The sequence below is a fragment of the Homo sapiens genome, chromosome 9, assembly GCF_000001405.40.
Source record: "Homo sapiens chromosome 9, GRCh38.p14 Primary Assembly".
Classification (NCBI taxonomy): domain Eukaryota; kingdom Metazoa; phylum Chordata; class Mammalia; order Primates; family Hominidae; genus Homo; species Homo sapiens.
Genome location: NC_000009.12, coordinates 82,758,635 through 82,783,857, shown reverse-complemented (window position 1 = coordinate 82,783,857; position 25,223 = coordinate 82,758,635). Strand labels below are relative to the sequence as shown.

Genomic DNA, 25,223 nt, shown 5'->3' with positions numbered 1-25,223 from the left:
TCATGGTAGAAGATGGAAAAATTTTGAGATGCATGATAGAAAATGCCTAGATTGTCTTGAATAGACTGTTGGTAGAAATCTGGATGTTAAGACTCTGCTAGTGAGGTCTCAGAGGGAAATGAGAAATGTGTTATTGGAAACTGGAAGAAAGGAAATGCTTGTTACATAGTAACAGAAAACATGGCTGAATTATGTTCTATAGTTGTGTGAAATATAGAACTTTTAAGCGATGAATTTGGATACTTAGCTGAAGAGGTTTCCAAGCAAAGTGCTAAAATGTAGCCTGGTTTCTTCTTGCTTCTTATAGTAAATTACAAGAGGGAAAAGAATTGAGGAAGAAACTTAAGCAAAAAGCAACCAGCACTCAATGGTTTGGAAAATTCTCAGCATATCCTGGTTGTAAAAGTTGTCTTAAGAGGATTTACATGCTTCCATTCTCTCTTAGAACTCTGTCACCAGCCTGTGCACAAGCCTATGCTAGCCTACTGGAGAACTTAAGACCCCATGAAGGAAAGCCTAGATGTACAAACCAAGGCCTTCCCAGGCCAAATTTGAGCCAGTAGAAACCCAGATATGTGCCCAAGCCCAGCCTACCCAATAGCAGAGTTACCTAAGCTAACCTCCAGGTGACCAAAGTTCATAGGCAAGCCCAGTGAACAAATAGACTCCAGGGTAATAATAAATCCATATTATTTTAAGGATCTAACTCCTGGGAGGTTTGTTTAGCACCAATTGTTAGCCGATGCAGTATGCAAGATGACTTTTTCTGCCAGTTATTGAGGAAGACTAATTTTCTTGTGATCAAAAGAAAGTCTGTCTGAGAAACTTCAAGGTTGGGTATAGCTTCACTATTTTTATGTAGGAAGGTTATGTATAAATAACTGCAACCTAGATGGAATAAGAAAGCACGAGAACTTGCTTTGAAGTTGAGTTTGTATAGAAAGCACACTGTTTTTGTTCTGATATACTTGTCTGGGGTGGGAATCGGGGATACTTTTAATGAGGAATTGACACTATAAACTTCAAAAGATGAGAAATGAGTTGGTTAGGTTAACAAGATGGAGAAGGACTGGGGAAAAGCATTCCATGCAGAAGTTTCAGCTTGAGCAAAGACCTAGAGGTCTCTGTTTGTGCTTGGGATATTTGTAATCAATAAACAAGTGTCCACATCCCTCTAAGTGCTTTGCTTCATTACCGCCTTTAAAACAACACCCAAGATGCCTACTACGCCAGCTGCTAGCCTCCCCCTTACTTCCTCTCCCCTTCCTTTAACCTACAAAAACACTGCCTACTGATGAGTTGTAAGTCATTTTGCAGAGGAAATTGGGTGTGCAAATCCTGAGATTAGACAAACATCCCTCATTAAAAGTTGTAATCCCTTGGCCCTCCAAGTTGACACCTTAATTCTGAACTCTTAACAGCCTGAGCACACTCGATGGCCCTGAAAAACTCCAACTTCTTTATCTCTTTTCCAGCTCCCTCCCCTCCTTGCTGAAGTCACCACCAGAAAATGACACAGTCTTCCAGATGGGGTAATGCGGCCTTCTCTTACTTGCACTGATAATAATGTTTTCTCAGTTTTATTACAGTCTCTTGAGAGTGGGACTGATTTGCATATTCCCTAACACTTAATTAACGATGTCACCTTCCCAGTGCCTTGAAAACAGTTTGTATTTTTTTTTCCTCTCTGGGCAGACCTCCAACAGTTACCTCCCACATTTTCTGCTGCAGTCCTTTTTATTACTTTAATGACAAATAATTGGACAGATTCTGAGTAATGAGGGTGAGAGCCAAAGGACTGTTGCAAGGGAGACGGCTGTGTTACAAGACACTTTTAGTGGTCTCTAAATCAGACAGACAAGTAGAGTAATGATCATCTTGCTGTAATGAGACACGATTAAGAATCACCGCGGCAAATGACAGAGCAGTTCATTGAACAGTAACCTCCTTCTTCACGTTCTCTCTCCCTTTTTTTCCAAAGGAGATCGAAGCTTAATTATAGCATCGCCATTTGCAATGCTATCCTTAAGATTGTGCCAGCACTTTCAATACAAATTGCATATTTTCAAGAGTTTATTACTTGAATATAAAAACTGGCTCCATTTTGAAACTTAGGGTATCATATCTCGATCTAAGAGAGTCAGAAAATATAGATTTTCAATGTTAGGAAAGGTCTTACAAGTGTTCTGTTTATATCCGATCTTTGAATGTTAAGTTTACATTTTAATGGATCAAGGTGTGTGTGGTTTTTTTTTTTTTTTTTTTTTTTTTTTTTTTTTTTTTTTTTTTTGCAGATTTCTAAGGCAAGAGTGTTTGTCTAGTATTTCTCAAACTTTAGCATGTGTTAGGACAGCAGGCAGGGCTTGTTGTAACAGATGGCCTTGTGCCTTGCTCCACCCCGAGTTTCTGATTCAATAGGCTGGATAGGGCTGAGTTTATGTTTCTAAAACGTTCCCAGGTGATGCTGCTGCTGGTGGTATGGGTACCACATTTTGACAACAACTCCCTTAGTCTTTACTGTGAACAGGGATCAAAAACAAAACTCCAAACCACAGAACTGTGTCTCAAAAGTTAGTGACAGTGCTTTTTATTTAAAAGAGGGGATCCAAAGCCACACAAGAAACAGTGTCCCCTTCAGAAACCGACCAGGTGAACTCTCTCCATATGGTGGTTATTCTTTCTGAGTCGGTTCTTTAAAAAGGTAATACATTAAAAATCAAATGTAGATTTTTGATGCACCAGTGCAATTTAAAAATGATATATTCTTTATTTTATTTTGCAAGTCTCTATTTTCTTTTTTCTAATGAGCTTAATGCCCTTTGGGGTTTCTTATTCCCTATATAAATTCCCCTTTCCCAGTGCTACCTGTCTTTCCCAATATAGTATGTGTGAAATGACCAACACATTCCCAATGATAAAGATACAGAAATGTTCATGGACTATAAATAATCTGCCCAAAGTCGTGGCTATTTTGTGATAATGGTAGAGATATCTTTCTGGATGCTTATTTCACTGACATATAATTCATTATTTTATAATATTTATAAAAGGACTGATCCAATGTATTTTACTTAACTCCAGTATTTTTGTGATGGTTTCATAGCAATGTGGTTTCCTGTGGAATAAGACCAGCTAAGGAAATTGGAGAATAATTAATCATTTGTGTTCCAAATTCTTTTGGAAGAACATGGGATCATAAATAAATAATGACAAAGTCATTGCCATCTTCTTGTCTTGGAAAACCACACTGCAATTTAGCCAGGTGCATTTTACCGCATACATATTTAATAAATAATTTAAGTTTTGGAAAGTGGAAACATTTGGTGGTGACTGTGAATGCATCTGTGAAAGCACATGAGGGAGTGAAGAAAAGTAACTTTTTTTCTTGTTTAATGATGAATTGACTAAACCAATGATTTTTCTAGCATTGTGAAGACGTAGCCTAAAGACAGGTTAGTGAATTGATTGAATGGAATAATACAAAAAAAGTCATGTTGATTAGCAGCATTTATGATATTTAGATGCCCAAAGTTAAATGTCTGCAGAACTCTGGCTGTGTCATATGCAGGAGCATAGGAGATCCTGATGATAATCTCCATGACTATACCAGTCAGGGTATGTTGAGTTATGCTGCAGTAACAAAATCAAAAAACAAAATAAACTCAGGGTGTCATAGAGGTTTATTGTCTGATCACGTAAATCTATTCTGGGTTCAAGTGACTCTCTGGGACAATGTTCTTCCATTTAGGAACTTCGTTATCCAAGCTGCTTGAATATTTTTTTTTCCCACCATCTCAGCTGAGGTCTTCTCAGTCACCTTAGCAGGGGAGGAATTCTGGAGGCTGTGCACTGGTATTTATTTCAAACTGCAGCCTAGTTGTGTTAGATGTCACATCTGCTAACAGCCTATTGGCCTGTAACTAGCCACATAGCTCAGTTCAATCCCAAGACATCAGAGAAAGGTAATCTTCCCACGTGTCTAGAAGAAGAAGAGACAGGATAAATGTAAGCACTGGAAGTCTCTACCACAGTGATTCAGACAAAACTTCCTTTTATTAATAGTCTACACAAGATTACCTTTACTACTTAGAACCCATCTTTCTTTCTAATTGCATGGTATAAAATTTTATTTGTTGTTTCTGGTGAATTGTCTCCACAATTTTATCATTGAAACATAAACAGAGGCTTTAATCATGTTGAACATACATGGTTTACGAAGTACTATTACATATATTATCTCAGTTTATATAACTTTGTAATAATGCATTGATACAGTTTGGATGTGTGTCCCAGCCCAAATCTCGTATTGAAATGTAATCCCCAATATTGGAGGTGGGGCCTGGTGGGACATGATTGGATTATGGAGGTGGGTTTCTCATGAATGGTCTAGCACCATCCCACTTGGTACCATCCTCATGATAATGAGTGAGTTCTCATGAGATCTGGTCTTTAAAAGTATGTAGCACCTCCCCCCTTGTTCTCTCGCTCTTGCTTTCTCCATGTGATGTGCCTGATCCCTGTTCATCTTCTGCCATGATTGTAAACTTCCTGGGGCCCCCCAGGACCAGATGCTGCTATACTTCTTGCAAAGCCTACAGACCCATGAGCCGATTAAACCTCTTTTTTTCTTTGAGATGGAATCTTGCTCTGTTGCCCAGGCTGAAGTGCAGTGGTGCAATCTCCGCAACCTCCATCTCCTAGGCTCAAGCAATTCTCCTGCTTCAGCCTCCCGAGTAGCTGAGACTACAGGTGCCCATCACCACGTTCAGCTAATTGTTATTTTTTTTGTAGAGAGGGGGGTCTCACTGTGTTGGCCAGGCTGATCTTGAACTCCTGACCTCTAGTGATCTGTCCACCTCTGCCTCCCAAAATGCTGGGATTACAGGCATGAACCACCCACTGCACCAGGCTTGGGTATTTCTTTATAACAATGGCAGAATGGACTAACACGTGTATGTAGAAAGGTATCATTGTTATTTCCAGGAAATAGGTTCAGTGATTTAGAAACCTCCTCAAGTTTTCCTAGCTATGTAAGTGGTGAAGATAGGACCAAAAACCCAGATCTTCTAAGTATTATATTCAGTCCACTATACCATATCATTGTCTTTGTTGAAGCTCTTTGTGCTTATTCCTCTAAAATAAGTAAACTAAAATTACTATTGTGCCCTTAAACATGGAATATGCTGTGTCTGGTTTGCCTTAGAGTTTCATACTCAGTTCAGAGTGTTTATGAAGTCTGGGGTTGTTTTGTTTGCTGTATGGTTGCTGCAGAAATCATTTGCCCATAATTTCCTTAAAAGTCTAAAACACTCTTTGAATTTATTCCATTTTATTTGATCCTCACATGTGCTTTTAACATTTCAAATTATTGATCATTAAATTAATTTATTAGATATCTGTAATTACATGATCTTGGCTAATACTGTTCTGATATGTGCCATTTGTCCTTCTTTACCGGTAAACTGAGATCTGTCAACTTTTATGGTGTCATTTTGTAGTTCCTCTTACCCTAGAACTTTAATGCTTTTTACAGAAACTGAACTTGGAATTAGGTATTTGCCTTTTTACCAAGAAGGAAAACAAGGCCCACTGGGAGCTGTATTGTGGCTCTTCGACGCCAGGCCAGTTCTCTGCATGGCTCTAGTGGTGTACATAGCAACATTCTGAACTGATTTTCCCAAATGAAAATGGGAAGTGAACTATGAATGCAATTGTAAGGTATATAAATATCCATTCACAAAATTCAGTATATAAGAAATATAACTTTCTTTCTCCTTAAATAACTCAAGCAAAATATCTTACAAGCTCCTGTTGCATAGGGTGATAGAAACATAATTTCGTTGTATTTAGAGTACCTACCTACAGTAGGTGCTGTAAGTGCGTCCACCATATCCCCTTGGCATTCACCATTCCCACATATACCAACAGTGTCTCACGGCCAACTTCTACAACTCTACCGGAGGGCTTTCTCTCTCTCACCTTCATGCGGGGCAAAATGGAATGCTAAAGAATAGCCCTCAACCAATTTTGGGTGGGAATTGGGCACTAAATACTCCAGTTTACTGGCCCCTCAGGTGGCAAACTCCAAGGTATATCCACACTTTCTCCATAGGTCCTTATTGGGATTTGTTGAAAGTTGCCCACAGCACGAACCTGTTCATTAATGCCTGTGTATTAGTTTCCTCTTCTTCCCTGTTTCATCTCCCCACTCCTCTAGGAGAGCTTCCTGTAATCACCACCCACATAAGCCTCTTACATTCAGATCCTTATCTCAGGGACCAGCCCAAGGCACTCACTCCCAATTTCCCCAGCACTGCATTTGCGTTCCATTGCCTCTCAGAATATCAAGGCACAGATGGAGGGGGCTCCTATGTGGATCTGAGTCCCAAGTAGATAGATTATGCGAGTTCATGAACCAAAGAGTGGAAGTAGAAGTTGTCCTGCTCTTTATGATTTCAAGAGACCTTTTTGGGGGGAATTTGTGCTTCTCATTCTCAGAACTTACAGTCTGATTGTGCCAGTTCCCAGATGGGGAGACACTTCTACCAGAGGACACAATCAGAGTCTAACTCAATTTAAAATGAAGTCTGCTGCTTGTTCACTGTGAGCTCATGGTGCTAGGAGGCACAGAAAAGAGTTACCACACAGGCAGGGATTATTGTCTCTGATTAGCATAAGTAGTAGAAATGCTGCTAAATAATGGGGCAGAGAAGAATATGTTTGGCATTAAAATAGTCTACTAGGCCATCTCTTGGTACTGCTATGCGCACTTTTAACTGTAAATGGTCAAGTGCAGAAACCATGGCCTTTAAGGGCCTGAGACCCCCTCAGTGATGAGCATCTGGATCATCCCACCAAAAAAGGTGAGCTAGAACAGCCGAACCCTGAGCTGAGAGAGAAACCTAGAATAGGTGATAGGGAATGGAAATAATAATATCCACCATGGTCTTGGGTCCAACTATGGTTTTGGGTCTTGGGTCCCAGTAGTTTATTCAGGGCCTGTTAGGACTACCAGATCCTGTAGTTTATCCCACAAACCCCCCTATTGTAAATTTCCCTAGGAATTGTGAACACAGAATCCTGGTAGAGTTGTGCATGGATGCTGGCTGGAAAGAATGGAATGCAGGAAACAAGTGGATCTGAGCAGTACAAGGAATGGACTATGTTAGACATTGTTTAGTGCCCCACCCAGTGTCCTTCAGCAGGCTGCTGTGAAGGTCAGCTGTAACAACTCACAGATGGCCTTCTACTCTATGGAAATGGATTTTATTTGACAAGGTCTCAAGTATCATCCTGTATCCCAAAGAAGGTCAGAACCAATGGCTGAGTGACATGAGAGTACACACACAAGGTCAGCCCTTGCCATAAGGCAATATGGCTGTGTTGTACAATTTATGCCCCAGAGCCCTTGTGGATGTGAGACCACATCCGTGCTCAGTTATTGCCCCTTTTTCATCTGCTTCATGTCCACTTTACAGGACTTTTCCTTAAGAACACTCCCTCAATTCATCATGTGCATTTAAAACCCTGTCGTGGGGTGTGCTTCAAGGGAATTTGACCTGACAATCGATTATACAAAGTAGATTCCTTCCTGAGATTTACACAGTAGGTACTTGCCTGGCTATAGAGAGCCTTTTGATATGAAAAAGAAAATGGCATTGTTTCTTTGTGTCCTGCCTGCCCTGTGAGCCTATCTGATAGATGAGGTTTTTGGCATTTGAAAACCTTGCTGCTGGCCCTTCTCAAGTTTTATCACATTCCTCATTTGAGTCTCATTCCACCTTTGGCTGAGGCTTGGATTGACTTAGCTGTCCATCACAGCCAGTACACAGGCTCATGGCACTAGATTCACATGGGTGAGGGTGGAAAGGAAGACCTTAATATCAGAGATAAAGGTAAAGTTTTAAGTGCCATGTTGTTTATAAATGAAGTAGTAGAAGAGTTTACTAATTAGTGCTTTAAAAAGAAGGAAGGCTGAGAGCAGTAGCTCACACTTGTAATCCCAGTACTTTGGTAATCCCAGTACTTTGGGAAGCCAAGGTGGGAGGACTACTTGACTGCAGAAGTTTGAGACTAGCCTGGGCAACATGGTAAGAACTCATCTCTATTTAAATAATAATAATAATAATACATTTTTAAAAAGAAGGAAGATGCTTCTTAATTTCTCTGTGAAGAGAAAAACTTAACAAACTGAATCCAACAATATATATAATAAGAATTGTACACCACGACCAACATGAACTTATTCAATTGAATATTGTATTTATTCTAATACCTTTAATTGAAGGTATGCATAGCTTGTTCAACATTCAAAAATTAATCAGTGTAATCTACCATATCGATAAGCTACATAAGAAAAGGCATATGATCATACCAATTGAGGCAGAAAATTATTAGACAAAATCCTACACAGAGTAATGATATAAAAAAAATTCAGTAAGGTAAGAGCAGAGGGGAATTTCCTCATCTTGAAAAATAACATCGAGAGGAGCCAAGATGGCCGAATAGGAACAGCTCCTGTCTACAGCTCCCAGCTTGAGCGACGCAGAAGACGGGTGATTTCTGCATTTCCATCTGAGGTACCGGGTTCATCTCACTAGGGAGTGCCAGACAGTGGGCGCAGGTCAGTGGGTGCGTGCACCGTGTGCAAGCCGAAGCAGGGCGAGGCAATGCCTCACTTGGGAAGCGCAAGGGGTCAGGGAGTTCTCTTTCAGAGTCAAAGAAAGGGGTGACGGACAGGCACCTGGAAAATCGGGTCACTCCCACCCGAATACTGCGCTTTTCCGACGGGCTTAAAAAACGGCGAACCACGAGATTATATCTGGCACCTGGCTGGGAGGGTCGTATGCCCACGGAGTCTTGCTGATTGCTAGCACAGCAGTCTGAGATCAAACTGCAAGGCGGCAGCGAGGCTGGGGGAGGGGCGCCCACCATTGCCCAGGCTTGCTTAGGTAAACAAAGCAGCCTGGAAGCTGGAACTGGGTGGAGCCCACAACAGCTCAAGGAGGCCTGCCTGCCTCTGTAGGCTCCACCTCTGGGGGCAGGGCACAGACAAACAAAAAGACAGCAGTAACCTCTGCAGACTTAAATGTCCCTGTCTGACAGCTTTGAAGAGAGCAGTGGTTCTCCCAGCACGCAGCTGGAGATCTGAGAAGGGGCAGACTGCCTCCTCAAGTGGGTCCCTGACCCCTAACCCCCAAGCAGCCTAACTGGGAGGCACCCCCCCAGCAGGGGCACACTGACACCTCACACTGCAGGGTACTCCAACAGACCTGCAGCTGAGGGTCCTGTCTGTTAGAAGGAAAACTAACAAACAGAAAGGACATCCACACCAAAAACCCATCTGTACATCACCATCATCAAAGACCAAAAGTAGATAAAACCACAAAGATGGGGAAAAAACAGAACAGAAAAACTGGAAACTCTAAAAAGCAGAGCACCTCTCCTCCTCCAGAGGAACACAGTTCCTCACCAGCAACGGAACAAAGCTGGATGGAGAATGACTTTGACGAGCTGAGAGAAGAAGGCTTCAGACGATCAAATTACTCTGAGCTACGGGAGGACATTCAAACCAAAGGCAAAGAAGTTGAAAACTTTGAAAAAAATTTAGAAGAATGTATAACTAGGATAACCAATACAGAGAAGTGCTTAAAGGAGCTGATGGAGCTGAAAACCAAGGCTCGAGAACTATGTGAAGAATGCAGAAGCCTCAGGAGCTGATGCGATCAACTGGAAGAAAGGGTATCAGCAATGGAAGATGAAATGAATGAAATGAAGCGAGAAGGGAAGTTTAGAGAAAAAAGAATAAAAAGAAATGAGCAAAGCCTCCAAGAAATATGGGACTATGTGAAAAGACCAAATCTACATCTGATTGGTGTACCTGAAAGTGATGGGGAGAATGGAACCAAGTTGGAAAACACTCTGAAGGATATTATCCAGGAGAACTTCCCCAATCTAGCAAGGCAGGCCAATGTTCAGATTCAGGAAATACAGAGAACGCCACAAAGATACTCCTCGAGAAGAGCAACTCCAAGACACATAATTGTCAGATTCACCAAAGTTGAAATGAAGGAAAAAATGTTAACGGCAGCCAGAGAGAAAGGTCGGGTTACCCTCAAAGGGAAGCCCATCAGACTAACAGCGGATCTCTCGGCAGAAACCCTACAAGCCAGAAGAGAGTGGGGGCCAATATTCAACATTCTTAAAGACAAGAATTTTCAACCCAGAATTTCATATCCAGCCAAACTAAGCTTCATAAGTGAAGGAGAAATAAAATACAGACAAGCAAATGCTGAGAGATTTTTGTCACCACCAGGCCTGCCTTACAAGAGCTCCTGAAGGAAGCACTAAACATGGAAAGGAACAACCAGTACCAGCCACTGCAAAATCATGCCAAAATGTAAAGACCATCAAGACTAGGAAGAAACTGTATCAACTAACGAGCAAAATCACCAGCTAACATCATGACAGGATCAGATTCACACATAACAATATTAACTTTAAATGTAAATGGACTAAATGCTCCAATTAAAAGACACAGACTGGCAAATTGGATAAAGAGTCAAGACCCATCAGTGTGCTGTATTCAGGAAACCCATCTCACGTGCAGAGACACACATAGGCTCAAAATAAAAGGATGGAGGAAGATCTACCAAGCAAATGGAAAACAAAAAAAGGCAGGGGTTGCAATCCTAGTCTCTGATAAACCAACAAAGATCAAAAGAGACAAAGAAGGCCATTACATAATGGTAAAGGGATCAATTCAACAAGAAGAGCTAACTATCCTAAATATATATGCACCCAATACAGGAGCACCCAGATTCATAAAGCAAGTCCTGAGTGACCTACAAAGAGACTTAGACTCCCACACATTAATAATGGGAGACTTTAACACCCCACTGTCAACATTAGACAGATCAACGAGACAGAAAGTCAACAAGGATACCCAGGAATTGAACTCAGCTCTGCACCAAGAGGACCTAATAGACATCTACAGAACTCTCCACCCCAAATCAACAGAATATACATTCTTTTCAGCACACCACACCCATTCCAAAATTGACCACATACTTGGAAGTAAAGCTCTCCTCAGCAAATGTAAAAGAACAGAGATTATAACAAACTATCTCTCAGACCACAGTGCAATCAAACTAGAACTCAGGATTAAGAATCTCACTCAAAACCGCTCAACTACATGGAAACTGAACAACCTGCTCCTGAATGATTACTGGGTACATAACGAAATGAAGGCAGAAATAAAGATGTTCTTTGAAACCAACGAGAACAAAGACACAACATACCAGAATCTCTGGGACACATTCAAAGCAGTGTGTAGAGGGAAATTTATAGCACTAAATGCCCACAAGAGAAAGCAGGAAAGATCCAAAATTGACACCCTAACATCACAATTAAAAGAACTAGAAAAGCAAGAGCAAACACATTCAAAAGCTAGCAGAAGGCAAGAAATAACTAAAATCAGAGCAGAACTGAAGGAAATAGAGACACAAAAAACCCTTGAAAAAAATTAATGAATCCAGGAGCTGGTTTTTTGAAAGGATCAACAAAATTGATAGACCACTAGCAAGACTAATAAAGAAAAAAAGAGAAGAATCAAATAGATGCAATAAAAAATGATAAAGGGGATGTCACCACCGATCCCACAGAAATACAAACTACCATCAGAGAATACTACAAACAACTCTAAGCAAATAAACTAGAAAATCTAGAAGAAATGGATAAATTCCTCAACACATACACTCTCCCAAGACTAAACCAGGAAGAAGTTGAATCTCTGAATAGACCAATAACAGGAGCTGAAATTGTGGCAATAATCAATAGCTTACCAACCAAAAAGAGTCCAGGACCTGATGGATTCACAGCCGAATTCTACCAGAGGTACAAGGAGGAACTGGTACCATTCCTTCTGAAACTATTCCAATCAATAGAAAAAGAGGGAATCCTCCCTAACTCATTTTATGAGGCCAGCATCATTCTGATACCAAAGCCAGGCAGAGACACAACCAAAAAAGAGAATTTTAGACCAATATCCTTGATGAACATTGATGCAAAAATTCTCAATAAAATACTGGCAAACCAAATCCAGCAGCACATCAAAAAGCTTATCCATCATGATCAAGTGGGCTTCATCCCTGGGATGCAAGGCTTGTTCAATATACGCAAATCAATAAATGTAATCCAGCATATAAACAGAGCCAAAGACAAAAACCACATGATTATCTCAATAGATGCAGAAAAGGCCTTTGACAAAATTCAACAACCCTTCATGCTAAAAACTCTCAATAAATTAGGTATTGATGGGACGTATTTCAAAATAATAACAGCTATCTATGACAAACCCACAGCCAATATCATACTGAATGGGCAAAAACTGGAAGCATTCCCTTTGAAAACTGGCACAAGACAGGGATGCCCTCTCTCACCACTCCTATTCAACATAGTGTTGGAAGTTCTGGCCAGGGCAATTAGGCAGGAGAAGGAAATAAAGGGTATTCAATTAGGAAAAGAGGAAGTCAAATTGTCCCTGTTTGCAGATGACATGATTGTATATCTAGAAAACCCCATTGTCTCAGCCCAAAATCTCCTTAAGCTGATAAGCAACTTCAGCAAAGTCTCAGGATACAAAATCAATGTACAAAAATCACAAGCATTCTTATACACCAATGACAGACAGAGAGCCAAATCATGAGTGAACTCCCATTCACAATTGCTTCAAAGAGAATAAAATACCTAGGAATCCAACTTACAAGGGATGGGAAGGACCTCTTCAAGGAGAACTACAAACCACTGCTCAAGGAAATAAAAGAGGATACAAACAAATGGAAGAACATTCCATGCTCATGGGTAGGAAGAATCAATATCGTGAAAATGGCCATACTGCCCAAGGTAATTTACAGATTCAATGCCATCCCCATCAAGCTACCAATGCCTTTCTTCACAGAATTGGAAAAAACTACTTTAAAGTTCATATGGAACCAAAAAAGAGCCTGCATTGCCAAGTCAATCCTAAGCCAAAAGAACAAAGCTGGAGGCGTCACGCTACCTGACTTCAAACTATACTACAAGGCTACAGTAACCAAAATAGCATGGTACTGGTACCAAAACAGAGATATAGATCAATGGAACAGACCAGAGCCCTCAGAAATAACGCCGCATATCTACAACTATCTGATCTTTGACAAACCTGAGAAAAACAAGCAATGGGGAAAGGATTCCCTATTTAATAAATGGTGCTGGGAAAACTGGCTAGCCATATATAGAAAGCTGAAACTGGATCCCTTCCTTACACCTTATACAAAAATCAATTCAAGATGGATTAAAGACTTAAACGTTCGACCTAAAACCATAAAAACCCTAGAAGAAAACCTAGGCATTACCATTCAGGACATAGGCATGGGCAAGGACTTCATGTCTAAAACACCAAAAGCAATGGCAACAAAAGACAAAATTGACAAATGGGATCTAATTAAACTAAAGAGCTTCTGCACAGCAAAAGAAATTACCATCAGAGTGAACAGGCAACCTACAAAATGGGAGAAAATTTTCACAACCTACTCATCTGACAAAGGGCTAATATCCAGAATCTACAATGAACTCAAACAAATTTACAAGAAAAAAAACAAACAACCCCATCAAAAAGTGGGCAAAGGACATGAACAGACACTTCTCAAAAGAAGACATTTATGCAGCCAAAAAACACATGAAAAAATGCTCATCATCACTGGCCATCAGAGAAATGCAAATCAAAACCACAATGAGATACCATCTCACACCAGTTAGAATGGCAATCATTAAAAAGTCAGAAAACAACAGGTGCTGAAGAGGATGTGGAGAAATAGGAACACTTTTACACTGTTGGTGGGACTGTAAACTAGTTCAACCATTGTGGAAGTCAGTGTGGCGATTCCTCAGGGATCTAGAACTGGAAATACCATTTGACCCAGCCATCCCATTACTGGGTATATACCCAAAGGACTAAATCATGCTGCTATAAAGACACATGCACACGTATGTTTATTGTGGCATTATTCACAATAGCAAAGACTTGGAACCAACCAAAATGTCCAACAATGATAGACTGGATTAAGAAAATGTGGCACATACACACCGTGGAATACTATGCAGCCATAAAAAATGATGAGTTCATGTCCTTTGTAGGGACATGGATGAAGTTGGAAATCATCATTCTCAGTAAACTATCGCAAGAACAAAAAACCAAACACCGCATATTGTCACTCATAGGTGGGAATTGAACAATGAGATCACATGGACACAGGAAGGGGAATATCACAATCTGGGGACTGTTGTGGGGTGGGGGGAGGGGGGAGGGATAGCATCGGGAGATATGCCTAATGCTAGATGACGAGTTAGTGGGTGCAGCGCACCAGCTTGTCACATGTATACATATGTAACTAACCTGCACAATGTGCACATTTACCCTAAAACTTAAAGTATAATAAAAAAAAAAAGAAAAAGAAAAATAACATCTACCAAAATCCTACAACTAGCAACAGACTTAATGGCAAGAGACTAAATGCTTTACCCCAAGATCATGTGTAAGGTGAGAATGTTCATTTCCACCACTCTTATTCAAAATAGTGTTGACAGTTCTAGATACTGAAATGAATCAAGAAAATGAAGTAAAAAACATACAGATTGGAAAGGAAGCGGTAAAATTGTCTCTATTTGCAGATGACATGATTGTCTATGTATAAAATTCCAAGGAATCCACAAAAGAATACCTAGAACTAATAAGTTCAGTAAGGTCATAGCATACAAAAGAAACAAAAAAAAACCAAATGTATTTCTATATTCTAACAATGAACATGCGGGAATCAAAATGGAGAGTACAATACCATTTACAGTCACTCCAAAGAAAATGAAATACACTTAACAAAACATATATGGCGTATGTATGCTGACAATTACAAAATGCTGTTAAAAGAAATCAAGGAAGACCTAGATAAATGGAGATATATGTGGTGTGCATGAATTGGTAGACTAGATATAGTAAAGATGTCAGTTCTGCCCTGTAGTGATCTATACGTTTAATGTAATTCCTAGCAAAATCCAAGCAAGGGTTTCTATGGACATAGATGAGCTTATTCTAAAATTTATATGGAAAGGTACAAGCCGTAGAATAATTAAAACAACCTTGACAAAGAAGAATAAAGTAGGAGGAGTCACTGTATCACATATTAAGGCTTACTGTATAGCTACAGTAATCAAGACAGTATTACATTGGCAGAGGGAGAAACCCATAGATGAGTGAGACAGAATAGAGTATCCAGAAATAGGCCCACACAAATATGTCCAATGGACTTTGGCAAAGGTCCAAAAGCAATGCACTAAAAGAAGTATGGTCTTTCCCACAATTGGTACTGGAGCAACTGGACATTCATAGGCAAAAAAAAAAAAAAAAAAAAAAAAAAGCCTCAACTGAAACCTCACACATTAAACAAAAATTAACTCGAAATGGATGGTGGATTTAAATGTAAAATGTAGACATATACAACTTTTAGAAAATAAAAACATAGGAGAAAATCTTCCAGACCTAGGGCTAGCAATAATTTCTTAGGCTTGACACCAAAACCATGAATTAAAAGGAAAAAAGAAAAAAATTAATAATTTGGACTTTATCAGTATTTAAACTTTTGCTCTCTAAAGCCCCTATAAAGAGGCTAAAAGGAAAGCTGCCAACTGGGAGAAAATATTTGCAAACCACCTATCCAATAAAAGACTAACATCTAGAAAATCTAAAGAACTCTCAAACTCAGCAGTAAAAAACCAACAATCCAATTAGAAAATGAGCACAAGTCATGTAGAGACATTTTGCCAAAGAGGATATGCAGATGACAAATATGCACAGGAAAAGATGTTCAGCATCATTTTAGCCATGACAGAAATGCAAATTAAAAGTATAATGGGCTGGGTGCAGCGGCTCACGCCTGTAATCCCAAAACTCTGGGAGGCCGAGGCAGGCGGATCACCAGGTCAGGAGATCGAGACCATCCCGGCTGACACGGTGAAACCCTGTCTCTACTAAAAATACAAAAAAAATTAGCTGGGTGTGGTGGTGGGCGCCTGTAGTCCCAGCTACTCGGGAGGCTGAGGCAGGAGAATGGCGTGAACCCAGGAGGTGGAGCTTGCAGTGAGCCAAGATAGCGTCACTGCACTCCAGCCTGGGCAAGAGAGTGAGACTCCATATCAAAAAAAAAAAAAAAAGTACAATGAGATATTACTACACATCTATAAAAAAAAAAAGTAACAACACAGAATGCTGATGAGGATGTGAAGAAACCAGATCACTCATAATAGTTCGGCAGTTTCTTATAGAACTAAACATGCAATTAGCACATGACCCAGCAATTGCACTTTTGGGTGTCTGTTCGAGAAATAAACATGCTCACACAAAACCTGTACATGAATCTTCATACCAGCTTTACTCACAATAATAAAAATGGGAAATAGCCTAGATGTTCTTCAGCTGGTGAATAGTTAAATAAACTGTGCTACATATAGATTGTGGAATAGTACTCAACAATAAAAAGGAATGCACTGTTACATACATACCATAGTATACCACTTGACAATAAAAAGGAACAAAATATTAATGTATATAACAATTTGAATAAATTCCCACAAAATGTATACTGAGTAGGAAAAAACAACAAATCCAAAAATGTAACATAATGTACCAATGAACAGTTTTCGTTCATATAACATTTCAAAATGGCAAAATTGTAAAAAAAGGAGAGCAGATTAGTGGTTGTCAGGTAGAGATGGAAGAGATTTGGATGAAGGCAGGAGATTGTAAAAAGGCACCATGAGGGATCCTTGTGGTGATTCAGTGTCACGACTGTAGTAGTGGATACACAAACCCACACGTGATAAAATTGCACAGAACTAAAGGCACACTAAAGATACGTGCACACGTTCACTTAAAACTGAGAAAATAAGAATGAGTGAATTGTCAGTGTCCTGGTTGTGATATTAAACTATAGTTTTGCAAATATTTTGGGGGGAAACTGGATGAAGTGTCCTCGGGATCTCTGTGTGTCATTTCTTACTATTGCAGACGAATCCAAATTATTTTGAAACATTTTAATTTTTTTTTTTTTTTTTTTTTTTTGAGACGGAGTCTCGCTCTCTCACCCAGGCTGGAGTGCAGTGGCATGATCTCGGCTCACTGCAAGCTCCGCCTCCTGGATTCATGCCATTCTCCTGCCTCAGCCTCCCGAGTAGCTGGGACTACAGGTGCCCGCCACCAAGCCTGGCTAATTTTTTGTATTTTTTAGTAGAGACGGGGTTTCACCATGTTAGCCAGGATGGTCTTGATCTCCTGACCTGGTGATCTGCCCACCTCGGCCTCCCAAAGTGCTGGGATTACAGGCGTGAGCCACCGCGTGGGCCCGAAACATTTTAATTTTTAAAGTTATTGAAAAAAATGTGATTGGGATTATCAGAAAGCCAAAAGGGTACGTCACCTATAAAACAAGAACAGATTGTTAAGAAATGAACAGACAAGACACAAATATTCTTAGAATATGAAAACATGATTGCTATAACAATATTTAAAGGTTTGATAAATTTCAGAATGTGGAGCAAAAAGAAAGGGAAAGAAAATACCAGGACAAAAAATGAAAAAATATAGAAGATTAGTCCAGAGAGAGAGCAAGCAGAGAGAATGTAGAGGAGGAAACTATTAGAGAAATAAATAACAGGATCGAAACCCCAATGCCGGGAGCAGTGGCTCACTCCTGTAATTCCAACACTTTGGGAGGGCGAGATGGGTGGATTACCTGAGATCAGGAGTTTGAAACCAGCCTGGCCAGCATGTTGAAACCATGTCTCTACTAAAAATACAAAATTAGCTGGGCGTGGTGGCACATGCCTCAGGAGGCTGAGGCAGGAGAATCGCTTGAACCTGGGAGGCGGAGGTTGCAGTGAGCCAAGATCTCGCCATTGCACTCCAGCCTGGGCAACAAGAGCAAAACTGTCAAATAAATAAATAAATAAATAAATAAATAAATAAATAAATAAATAAAAATTACAACAAAGGATGAATTTAAGAAACACACACACACACCCATGAACACATACACGCACACAGAGTCATATTTTGAGCAAACCAAAATCAAACAAAATTTGGGAAGCTTACTTCTTATTCACTTTTTCTGAGGATATTACTCAAGCATATAGTCCATCACTAAAAGGGGGAAACGTGGAAATTATGAATCCAATAAGATGAAATCCCGAGACAGCAGCTAAGCAGCAGGCTCACAAAACAGCGAGCCCAAATTAGAATGTGGGGTTAGTGGGATGCGAGTAAATATCTTCAAAAGATGGAGATGTTTATTAAGCAAAGGAGAATCAGAAGAGCCTGCAGATGAATTAGGCACACCATGATAGGTTATAACTCTTTCAACTGTAAGAAAAGAAAGTAAGAAATTCCAGGAAATAAATACACAATCATGGCCCAAATACAAACCAAACCAAAATATGGAATGATTTTAATGCATGTACAGGGAAAGAAAAAACAGATTTCATCAGGGACTGTAATTTTTACTAGAGACAGTAACTGATACTAGGAACACTGTGATTTCAAGGACAGAAGGAAGGGTGGTGGGAACCGCAGACAATGAAATGTGACTATGACATAGTCTTTGACTTTCCAATGAGCAATATTTATATAGTTATAATCCTGCTAAGATATTTAGTGCCTGTCAATTTTTATAATCAACATGTAGTTAAAACAAGAGCTATACTTAAATGTTTAAAATAGATTGGAAGATGGGAGGGAAATGGAAGGATAGATGTGTTTTAAATTCTTGTTTTACAAGTTGGGAATTCAGTCTATATTTTCAAAAATGTATGGAACACAAAATGAGGGCTTATGGATTTCATTTTTAGTTACAAAAGTAACAATTTGAGGCAAAAAAATAGTGATATAGCCATCAAAAATTGAGAAGAGAGGAAGAAGATATTAAAAAGTATTCTTTTCAATCAGTAAGACATTAAACTGAGAATAGCTAAAGCCTATACATCAAGAATTAGTCCTAAAAATAGATCACTCAGATCCGTATCTAACACTCAAAAAAACTAGACACAGAAATAGTTAAACATGATTGCCCTTGGAGAGTAGAAAGTGGGGAGGTGACAGACTCTCACTTTATTTTATAAGCCAGTCTATTCTATTTGATTTTCTGCTACATGCATATATTACGTTGATCAAGGAAAAATATTTTATACAAGATTCTCTAGCTGTAACCCCATGGGAGGCTGTGGCCCAGTATCATCCTGCAAGGGGATGTAAAGTAACACGAGGGGTATACACTTAGGAAACATCTGCCATTGCGCTGAAATGTGGAGAAGGGAACAATAAAAGCCACAAATGAGAATTGCAACCCAAACACCACATGCGGAAACAGCTGTGTTAATTCTGACAAATTCTGTTTGACCTCATCCATCACTGCAAAACACCTGACTCTATCAGGGAAAAAAAAAATTCTTGCCTTTGAGATATTAATTCCATCTTATCAGTATAGGTCCATGCACATATTGAGTGCATGATGGAGATTAGATATCACTGGGGTAATTTCGGTGTGATTGCTTTGACAGTCCTAAAGCACTCTACATTTATAATGGCTAGTTATTCTATGTAGGCACTGTAATATCAACTCTCATGAGAGACCAGGAAAATAAATGATTTCTACTCTGATGCACATACATGCTGAAATAGATTTCTACAACATAGTCATTTGTTTTTATTCATCCTTTAAAATACATACCTCTGGTTACGTTTGCAGGCTACCTCTGTCATTATTCCCTTTAGCTCCTTTGCTTCCTGTAAAAAGCTGTGAGAGAATACAGCCTGTCTGATCTTGGCAGCCTCTTTGATGGCCTGGTCACTGAGCTGGGGTCTTAGAGCTGATGGCTGCCACATGGGGAGTGGAAAGCCATCTGGGTTCTGGGCCAGCTGGGCTCCCTGATTTAAAACAACCTCAAGGAGCACGGTAGGTGGAGCTCAGGTACCACTTCACACTCTGCCGTTTAGAAGGATGTGGGGCTGCTTTTAGGTGATCCTTTCTATGCAAAGAACTTGCCTCAGAGTTGAAACTCATGCAGATGTGAATAAGTATGAAGACAGAGCTATTCTTGAGAGGAGGCTTTAGGCCCATCCTGTCAGTGGGAGAGATGCAAAGGTGCTTTGGAAGCTGCTTTTGGGAAGATCTGGAGTCATTCGAAGAAAACTACAAAAATGATAAAGCATTTCTGATTGGATTTACCATACCCTCCACTCTCTCAGGAACAAAATTTCTACTGCATTTTGATTATTCTGCCAAATTACAGATCTGCAAGCTTTGTGTCTTTAGGAGCTCTTTTTGTTTTACGTACATGAACTCTGGAGTCAAATTTTGGCTCAGGCACTTTTTGTAATCTTGCACAGGTGAGTTAACTTCTCTATGCATCTAGCTATATATATATATGTGTGTGTATATATATATATGTATATACATGTGTGTGTGTGTGTGTGTGTGTGTGTGTATATACCATATCTGCTAACTGGGGAGAATGAGGGGTATAGGAGATAACCTGTGTGCCACTAAATAATAACAATAGCAATCATTTTTTTTTTCTACAAAACTTACACTAGGCACAGAAAATGTGAAGACAATGCCTTGAGATTTGCAAGTTGCAAATGGGGGTTTGAAAGTGAGAGCATGGTGAGGAGATAGCATTGAATACAAATCATTGGGGTTACTTTCTAGACATCGCTCTACAGGACACCTTCCATAGTTCAGTCATCTACACTGCCTTGAGGAGAGGCAGGGACACAAGGTGAGAGAGCAAAGCAGCTAATGTTCCATCTTGGGCTTTTAAAATAAGCTTGGGATGCCAGCCTCAGAAACTAGCAAACCGGCTTTGATAGCCAAAACTTTTCATTTGCAAGAGTGACTTCGAGGAGAAAAAAAGGGGAGTGCTCTTACGAATCCAAGCATAAAGCCCTCTAGGAGAGAATGTGGCAAGTGTGTGCTGTAGCAACAGATTACAAAAGAAGACTGAGAGATTCAGACAATGCCCTTCCTGCCAAGAATGGACAAGATTAGGGTGACCACATAACCTAAGGTCCAAATGGGTCACTGTTGAGAGTAAAAGCGGCCATTATACATCATTTTACTGGGTCCAAACAGGCAGAATAGGACTGACCTGCGCAAATTAGGACATGTGGCCATCTAGTCAAGGTGCACTGGGCTGGGAAAAGGGAACAGGAGCTGGATGGGGGGGAGGAATGAAATCTGGAGCACGACTTGGAGGAAAGCAGGATCAATAGAAAGAGCCCAGCACCATCTCTTGCCAGCACCAGAGGGCTGTGGGAGACCACAAAGGACCAGCAGGGCATCCATCAACACTAGAGTTAACCCCACTTGTCACCTGCCTGATGAGCCATGTAGCCCTCTGGGGAGAGCCTTCCACCTGTATCTGCCAGCATATTGCTGGTGCATCTTCCAGCAGCCATGGTGGCCGCTCGTCCCGTAGACTTTGCTGAGCCACATTCAAATTTCCCCACATGGCCATTCTGTCAACAGCCCAGGACATTCAGAAGCCTCCAGGAGGAGAGAGACATATGGATGGGGGAGTCCCCAGCATCCACACTTGGATGAAATTAGACTGTTGGAACCCACCTCCTGTTATAACAGATTCTAGCTGAATTTCTTCAGCAATGGGAAACAGCAGCAGCTGGGGAGGTGATGGTGGGAGGTGGGAAGATACTAGTTTAAAGACAGAGAGGCTTTGAGATCTTCCCAGCCTAAAAGAGCAATATAGCTTATCTTAAAAGTGAGTTTATTTTACAGAACTGAAATAGACAAAAGAAAATAGACACATGAAAAGAATTACAGTGTGCTTTCAGGTTGTGTGTAAGTTTTCCCTAGGTCATTTACTGTCCCTCATAATTTCCATGAGTTGAACATAAAAGTTACATGTTGATGGTATCAACATTGTAGGGTCTTATTTGACCTTAAGGCTATTTCCTACTGGCTGTGGGCTGTTAATATTCATAATCATCCTCTCTTGTAACTACCAGAAACCTATTGGAAAACATTTCTTAGGCTGAATTATGTATTTATATGTAAAGCATCAGCAAACACCCTTATGGCCATAACTTTTGGGTGTTTTCAAACCAGATTATAGTAAGACAATGCATTTTATTCAGCAGATTTGTTTTAATCTAATTATGTAGGTGAATAAAAATTACTGCATGCTGGTGCATCTAATGTAAGTTATCTATTATTCACACCACATTTACTTTTAATATTCATGCAGATTCCCTTTGACATAACCTACTGTGTCACAGTTAATCCAATAAAGATAAAATATAGCTCAGCAAAACACCAGTCGATTCCAGCTTTCTGGTAATAAAGACTATTTCACACTGGTTCCTTCAATCAATGTATTTCCCCTTGGATATGATAGCACTCCTCTTTGAAGCTTTCAGTCCTCCCAATGGATTCAGAGGAACACTCAGGCCCCTTTTCAGTCTCTGGGTCTCAGAGGTAGTTCAAAGAGCACAACAAGGCTTCACAGGTTTATCCTCAAAGGCTGACACTGTCTGTTTGATGTATGGTGACTTAAAAAGTCATCTCTGGCAAAGCATGTGTTTGCTACCAGTCTATTGAATCAGCCATTTATCAACTTATCTGTATTCACCCAGTGCACCTGCTAACAGCTCAAAGGAGAACACACACTGTCTCCTGCTGGACTGGCTATTGATTTGATTCCCGCCTCTAATTTTATATTGTTTTGCTGCCCTGTGGATGAAGCAACTCTTTTACTGGATGAAATGAACATGGAAGCCGTGAACGGATGGCTTTTGGTTGTTGTGTTCAAGAGCCTAGAGGGCAACAGGCTCTTCACAGGATAAGGACAGCTGGGCTGACAGTGGATCCAAGCTTTTCTGTCCCAGTGTGCCTTGCTTTTCACTTTTATCCACATTGAAGGCATTTCACTGTATGGACCCTGCTAGAAAATTGCAGAAAGATCACTAGGAATTCCCAACCTTGAAATCAGAAGCTGGTAATATTCAACAACTACAAACACACACAAATGGGAATCCTGGATTAAAGATGGAGATACACCAGTTTCCTCTCAGTCTAACCACCTCACCGTAACCATCTCCATGCTGCAAGGAAAGTTCCCTTTATTCTTTGTAATCCTGAGCACGTGATTCTAGCTGAGATGTTCTCCTTTCCTCTTCTCTGTCTTTATCTGTTTTCAATTAAAATAAAATGAGGCTACCTCATTGCATCATGAAAATTATCATTTATGAAGGCCTTTCTTATTACTTTAGTCTCTGGTGTGGCCATATCATTTGAATATCATTATAAGTAATGCTTCAATTATAGAAAAGACAATTTTATGGATTCTTATAGAAAAGGACAAAGACAAGGTCAATATTTTTTTCTGTGCAACATTATATATTTTAAGTAGAGCAAGTGCTATTTGGGGATAGTGATAATTATATTATTGCAGAGTAAATTATAACCTGAGGTAGATCTAAGAGAGATTATTGTTTGTCCCTGGTTCCTTTCCTATTGCTACAACAAGTCATTCTCTTTCTCTCTCTCTCTCTTTTTCTCTCTCAGCATATCTTGATGAAATTCACCAAGATTCTATCACTAGTACTCTTTTATTCTTGCTTTGCACACATTCCCTGAATGAAAAGACCCAGTCATAGCTCCCATTATCTATATACAGAAAACTCCTCCAGATCTATCAATACCACTGATTCCTCTGCTGAGCACCAGTCTCTACCTCTTTCTGATAAACATTTCCAATTAGATAGGTTGCAGGCACCTTAATCTCAATATTGAACTCATCATCTTTACACTTAACTCCTCCTGAATTCTTCATCAGTAGCAATGCTAGATATTAAGCCACTCATCTTTGTAGTCAACACTCCAGGTATAATTAATCTTCAAGTAGTGTCCATTAAATCTTTCTCAAATTTACTGCCTGCTCTACAACTCCATCATCACAGGTCTATCTCAAGGCACTGCCATCTCTAGCCTTGACCACCTCAATAAACTCCAGATACACAACCCATTTCTTCATGATTGTGATATGTTGGTTTAAAACAAGACTTAACCATAAAACTTGTTTATGTTGTTTCCACCGGGTTTCTTTATTGAAAAGGGTTACAAAAATTTAGTTGCTTGCTTAAATTGTTTCAACGTCTCCTACTTCCCTTCAGGATAAAGTTGAAAATTATTTAGTAATGCGTAGCAAACTGACCTTAGCCAATTGAGTCATTTAGTGAGCACTGGATTTGTTTTTTTTTTTAAAAAGAGCATTGGTAGTTTCAGTAGTTAGAGGCAGATGGAAGCTATATTTTCCGTTCTTGTAACCTCCCTACCAGGTGACACATCACATTCAAAATCGATCTCAGGTCAAACTCTGCCAGACTCACAATCTTAAAGAGGAAAATTCAAAGCCTTACACTATCAGATGGCTTATAATAGAACTGTAGTCATTATTAGTAAAATATGTAAAAATAGAGAACTAGGCCAATGGAATAAGTAGAGTCCAAACATAAACTCGTGTATGTGTGTGTGTGTGTACACACATATATATCTCACACTGATTGGTGACAATGTGACACTGCATAGTACAGAAAAACTGACCTTAATGAACAGTGCTGGATCAATTGAATATTTGCATGGAAAAAGAATGGGCCAGGCACGGTGGCTCACACCTGTAATCCCAGCACTTTGGGAGGCCGAGGCAGGTGGATTACCTGAGGTCGGGAGTTCGAGACCAGCATGGCCAACATGGTGAAACCCCGTCTCTACTAAAAATACAAAAATTAGCCGGGCATGATGGTGGGTGCCTGTAATCCCAGCTACTCGGTGGCTGAGGTGGGAGAATCGCTTGAACCTGGGAGGCAAAGTTTTCAGTGAGCCAAGATCGCACCATTGCACCCCACCCTAGGCAACAGAGTGAGACTCTATCTCAAAAAAAAAAAAAAAAGAAAAAAAAGAATAATGTTTCATCCTTCCCTCCAACCGTACCCTAAATCACTTAAGGAGGACTGTATATTTAAATGTAAAACAATGACACTTCTAGAAGACAGATTCCAAGTGTGAGAAGGATTTGATGTGCCCTTGCTGGCTCTGAGATGGAAGGAACCATATGTAAGAACCAAG

At 40.0% G+C, this 25,223-nt stretch overlaps 3 long non-coding RNA genes across 3 annotated transcripts in view, besides 2 other annotated features; 2 read left to right on the top strand and 1 right to left on the bottom strand.

The window, feature by feature from the left end:
• The first annotated feature begins 1,475 nt into the window (after nt 1-1,475).
• Nucleotides 1,476-25,223, top strand: part of LOC124902188 (uncharacterized) — a 44,835-nt gene continuing 21,087 nt past the window's right edge. Inside the window, exon 1 of the long non-coding RNA XR_007061608.1 lies at nt 1,476-1,532. This is a non-coding gene — a long non-coding RNA (uncharacterized LOC124902188). The remainder of the gene's footprint in view (nt 1,533-25,223) is intronic.
• The window catches only part of LOC107987087 (uncharacterized), a 288,244-nt gene continuing 266,683 nt past the window's right edge, over nt 3,663-25,223 (bottom strand). The window contains exon 3 of the long non-coding RNA XR_001746782.2: nt 3,663-3,979. This is a non-coding gene — a long non-coding RNA (uncharacterized LOC107987087). The remainder of the gene's footprint in view (nt 3,980-25,223) is intronic.
• Nucleotides 3,857-4,026: an enhancer, noted in NCBI's record as "experimental_108276 CRE fragment used in MPRA reporter constructs". NCBI's record gives its function as "activates a minimal promoter by MPRAs in K562 erythroleukemia cells, with activity observed for the non-introgressed 9:85394832 variant allele {active_cell/tissue: K562}" and the evidence as "EXISTENCE:reporter gene assay evidence [ECO:0000049][PMID:34662402]".
• Nucleotides 8,755-9,365: an enhancer, noted in NCBI's record as "H3K27ac-H3K4me1 hESC enhancer chr9:85389408-85390018 (GRCh37/hg19 assembly coordinates)". NCBI's record gives its function as "activates a minimal SCP1, AML or CMV promoter by ChIP-STARR-seq in naive H9 embryonic stem cells {active_cell/tissue: H9 hESC(naive)}" and the evidence as "EXISTENCE:reporter gene assay evidence [ECO:0000049][PMID:30033119]".
• LOC124902189 (uncharacterized) lies at nt 20,095-23,334 on the top strand. Its single transcript, XR_007061609.1, has 2 exons — nt 20,095-20,467; nt 22,733-23,334. It is a non-coding gene; the product is annotated as an uncharacterized LOC124902189 (long non-coding RNA).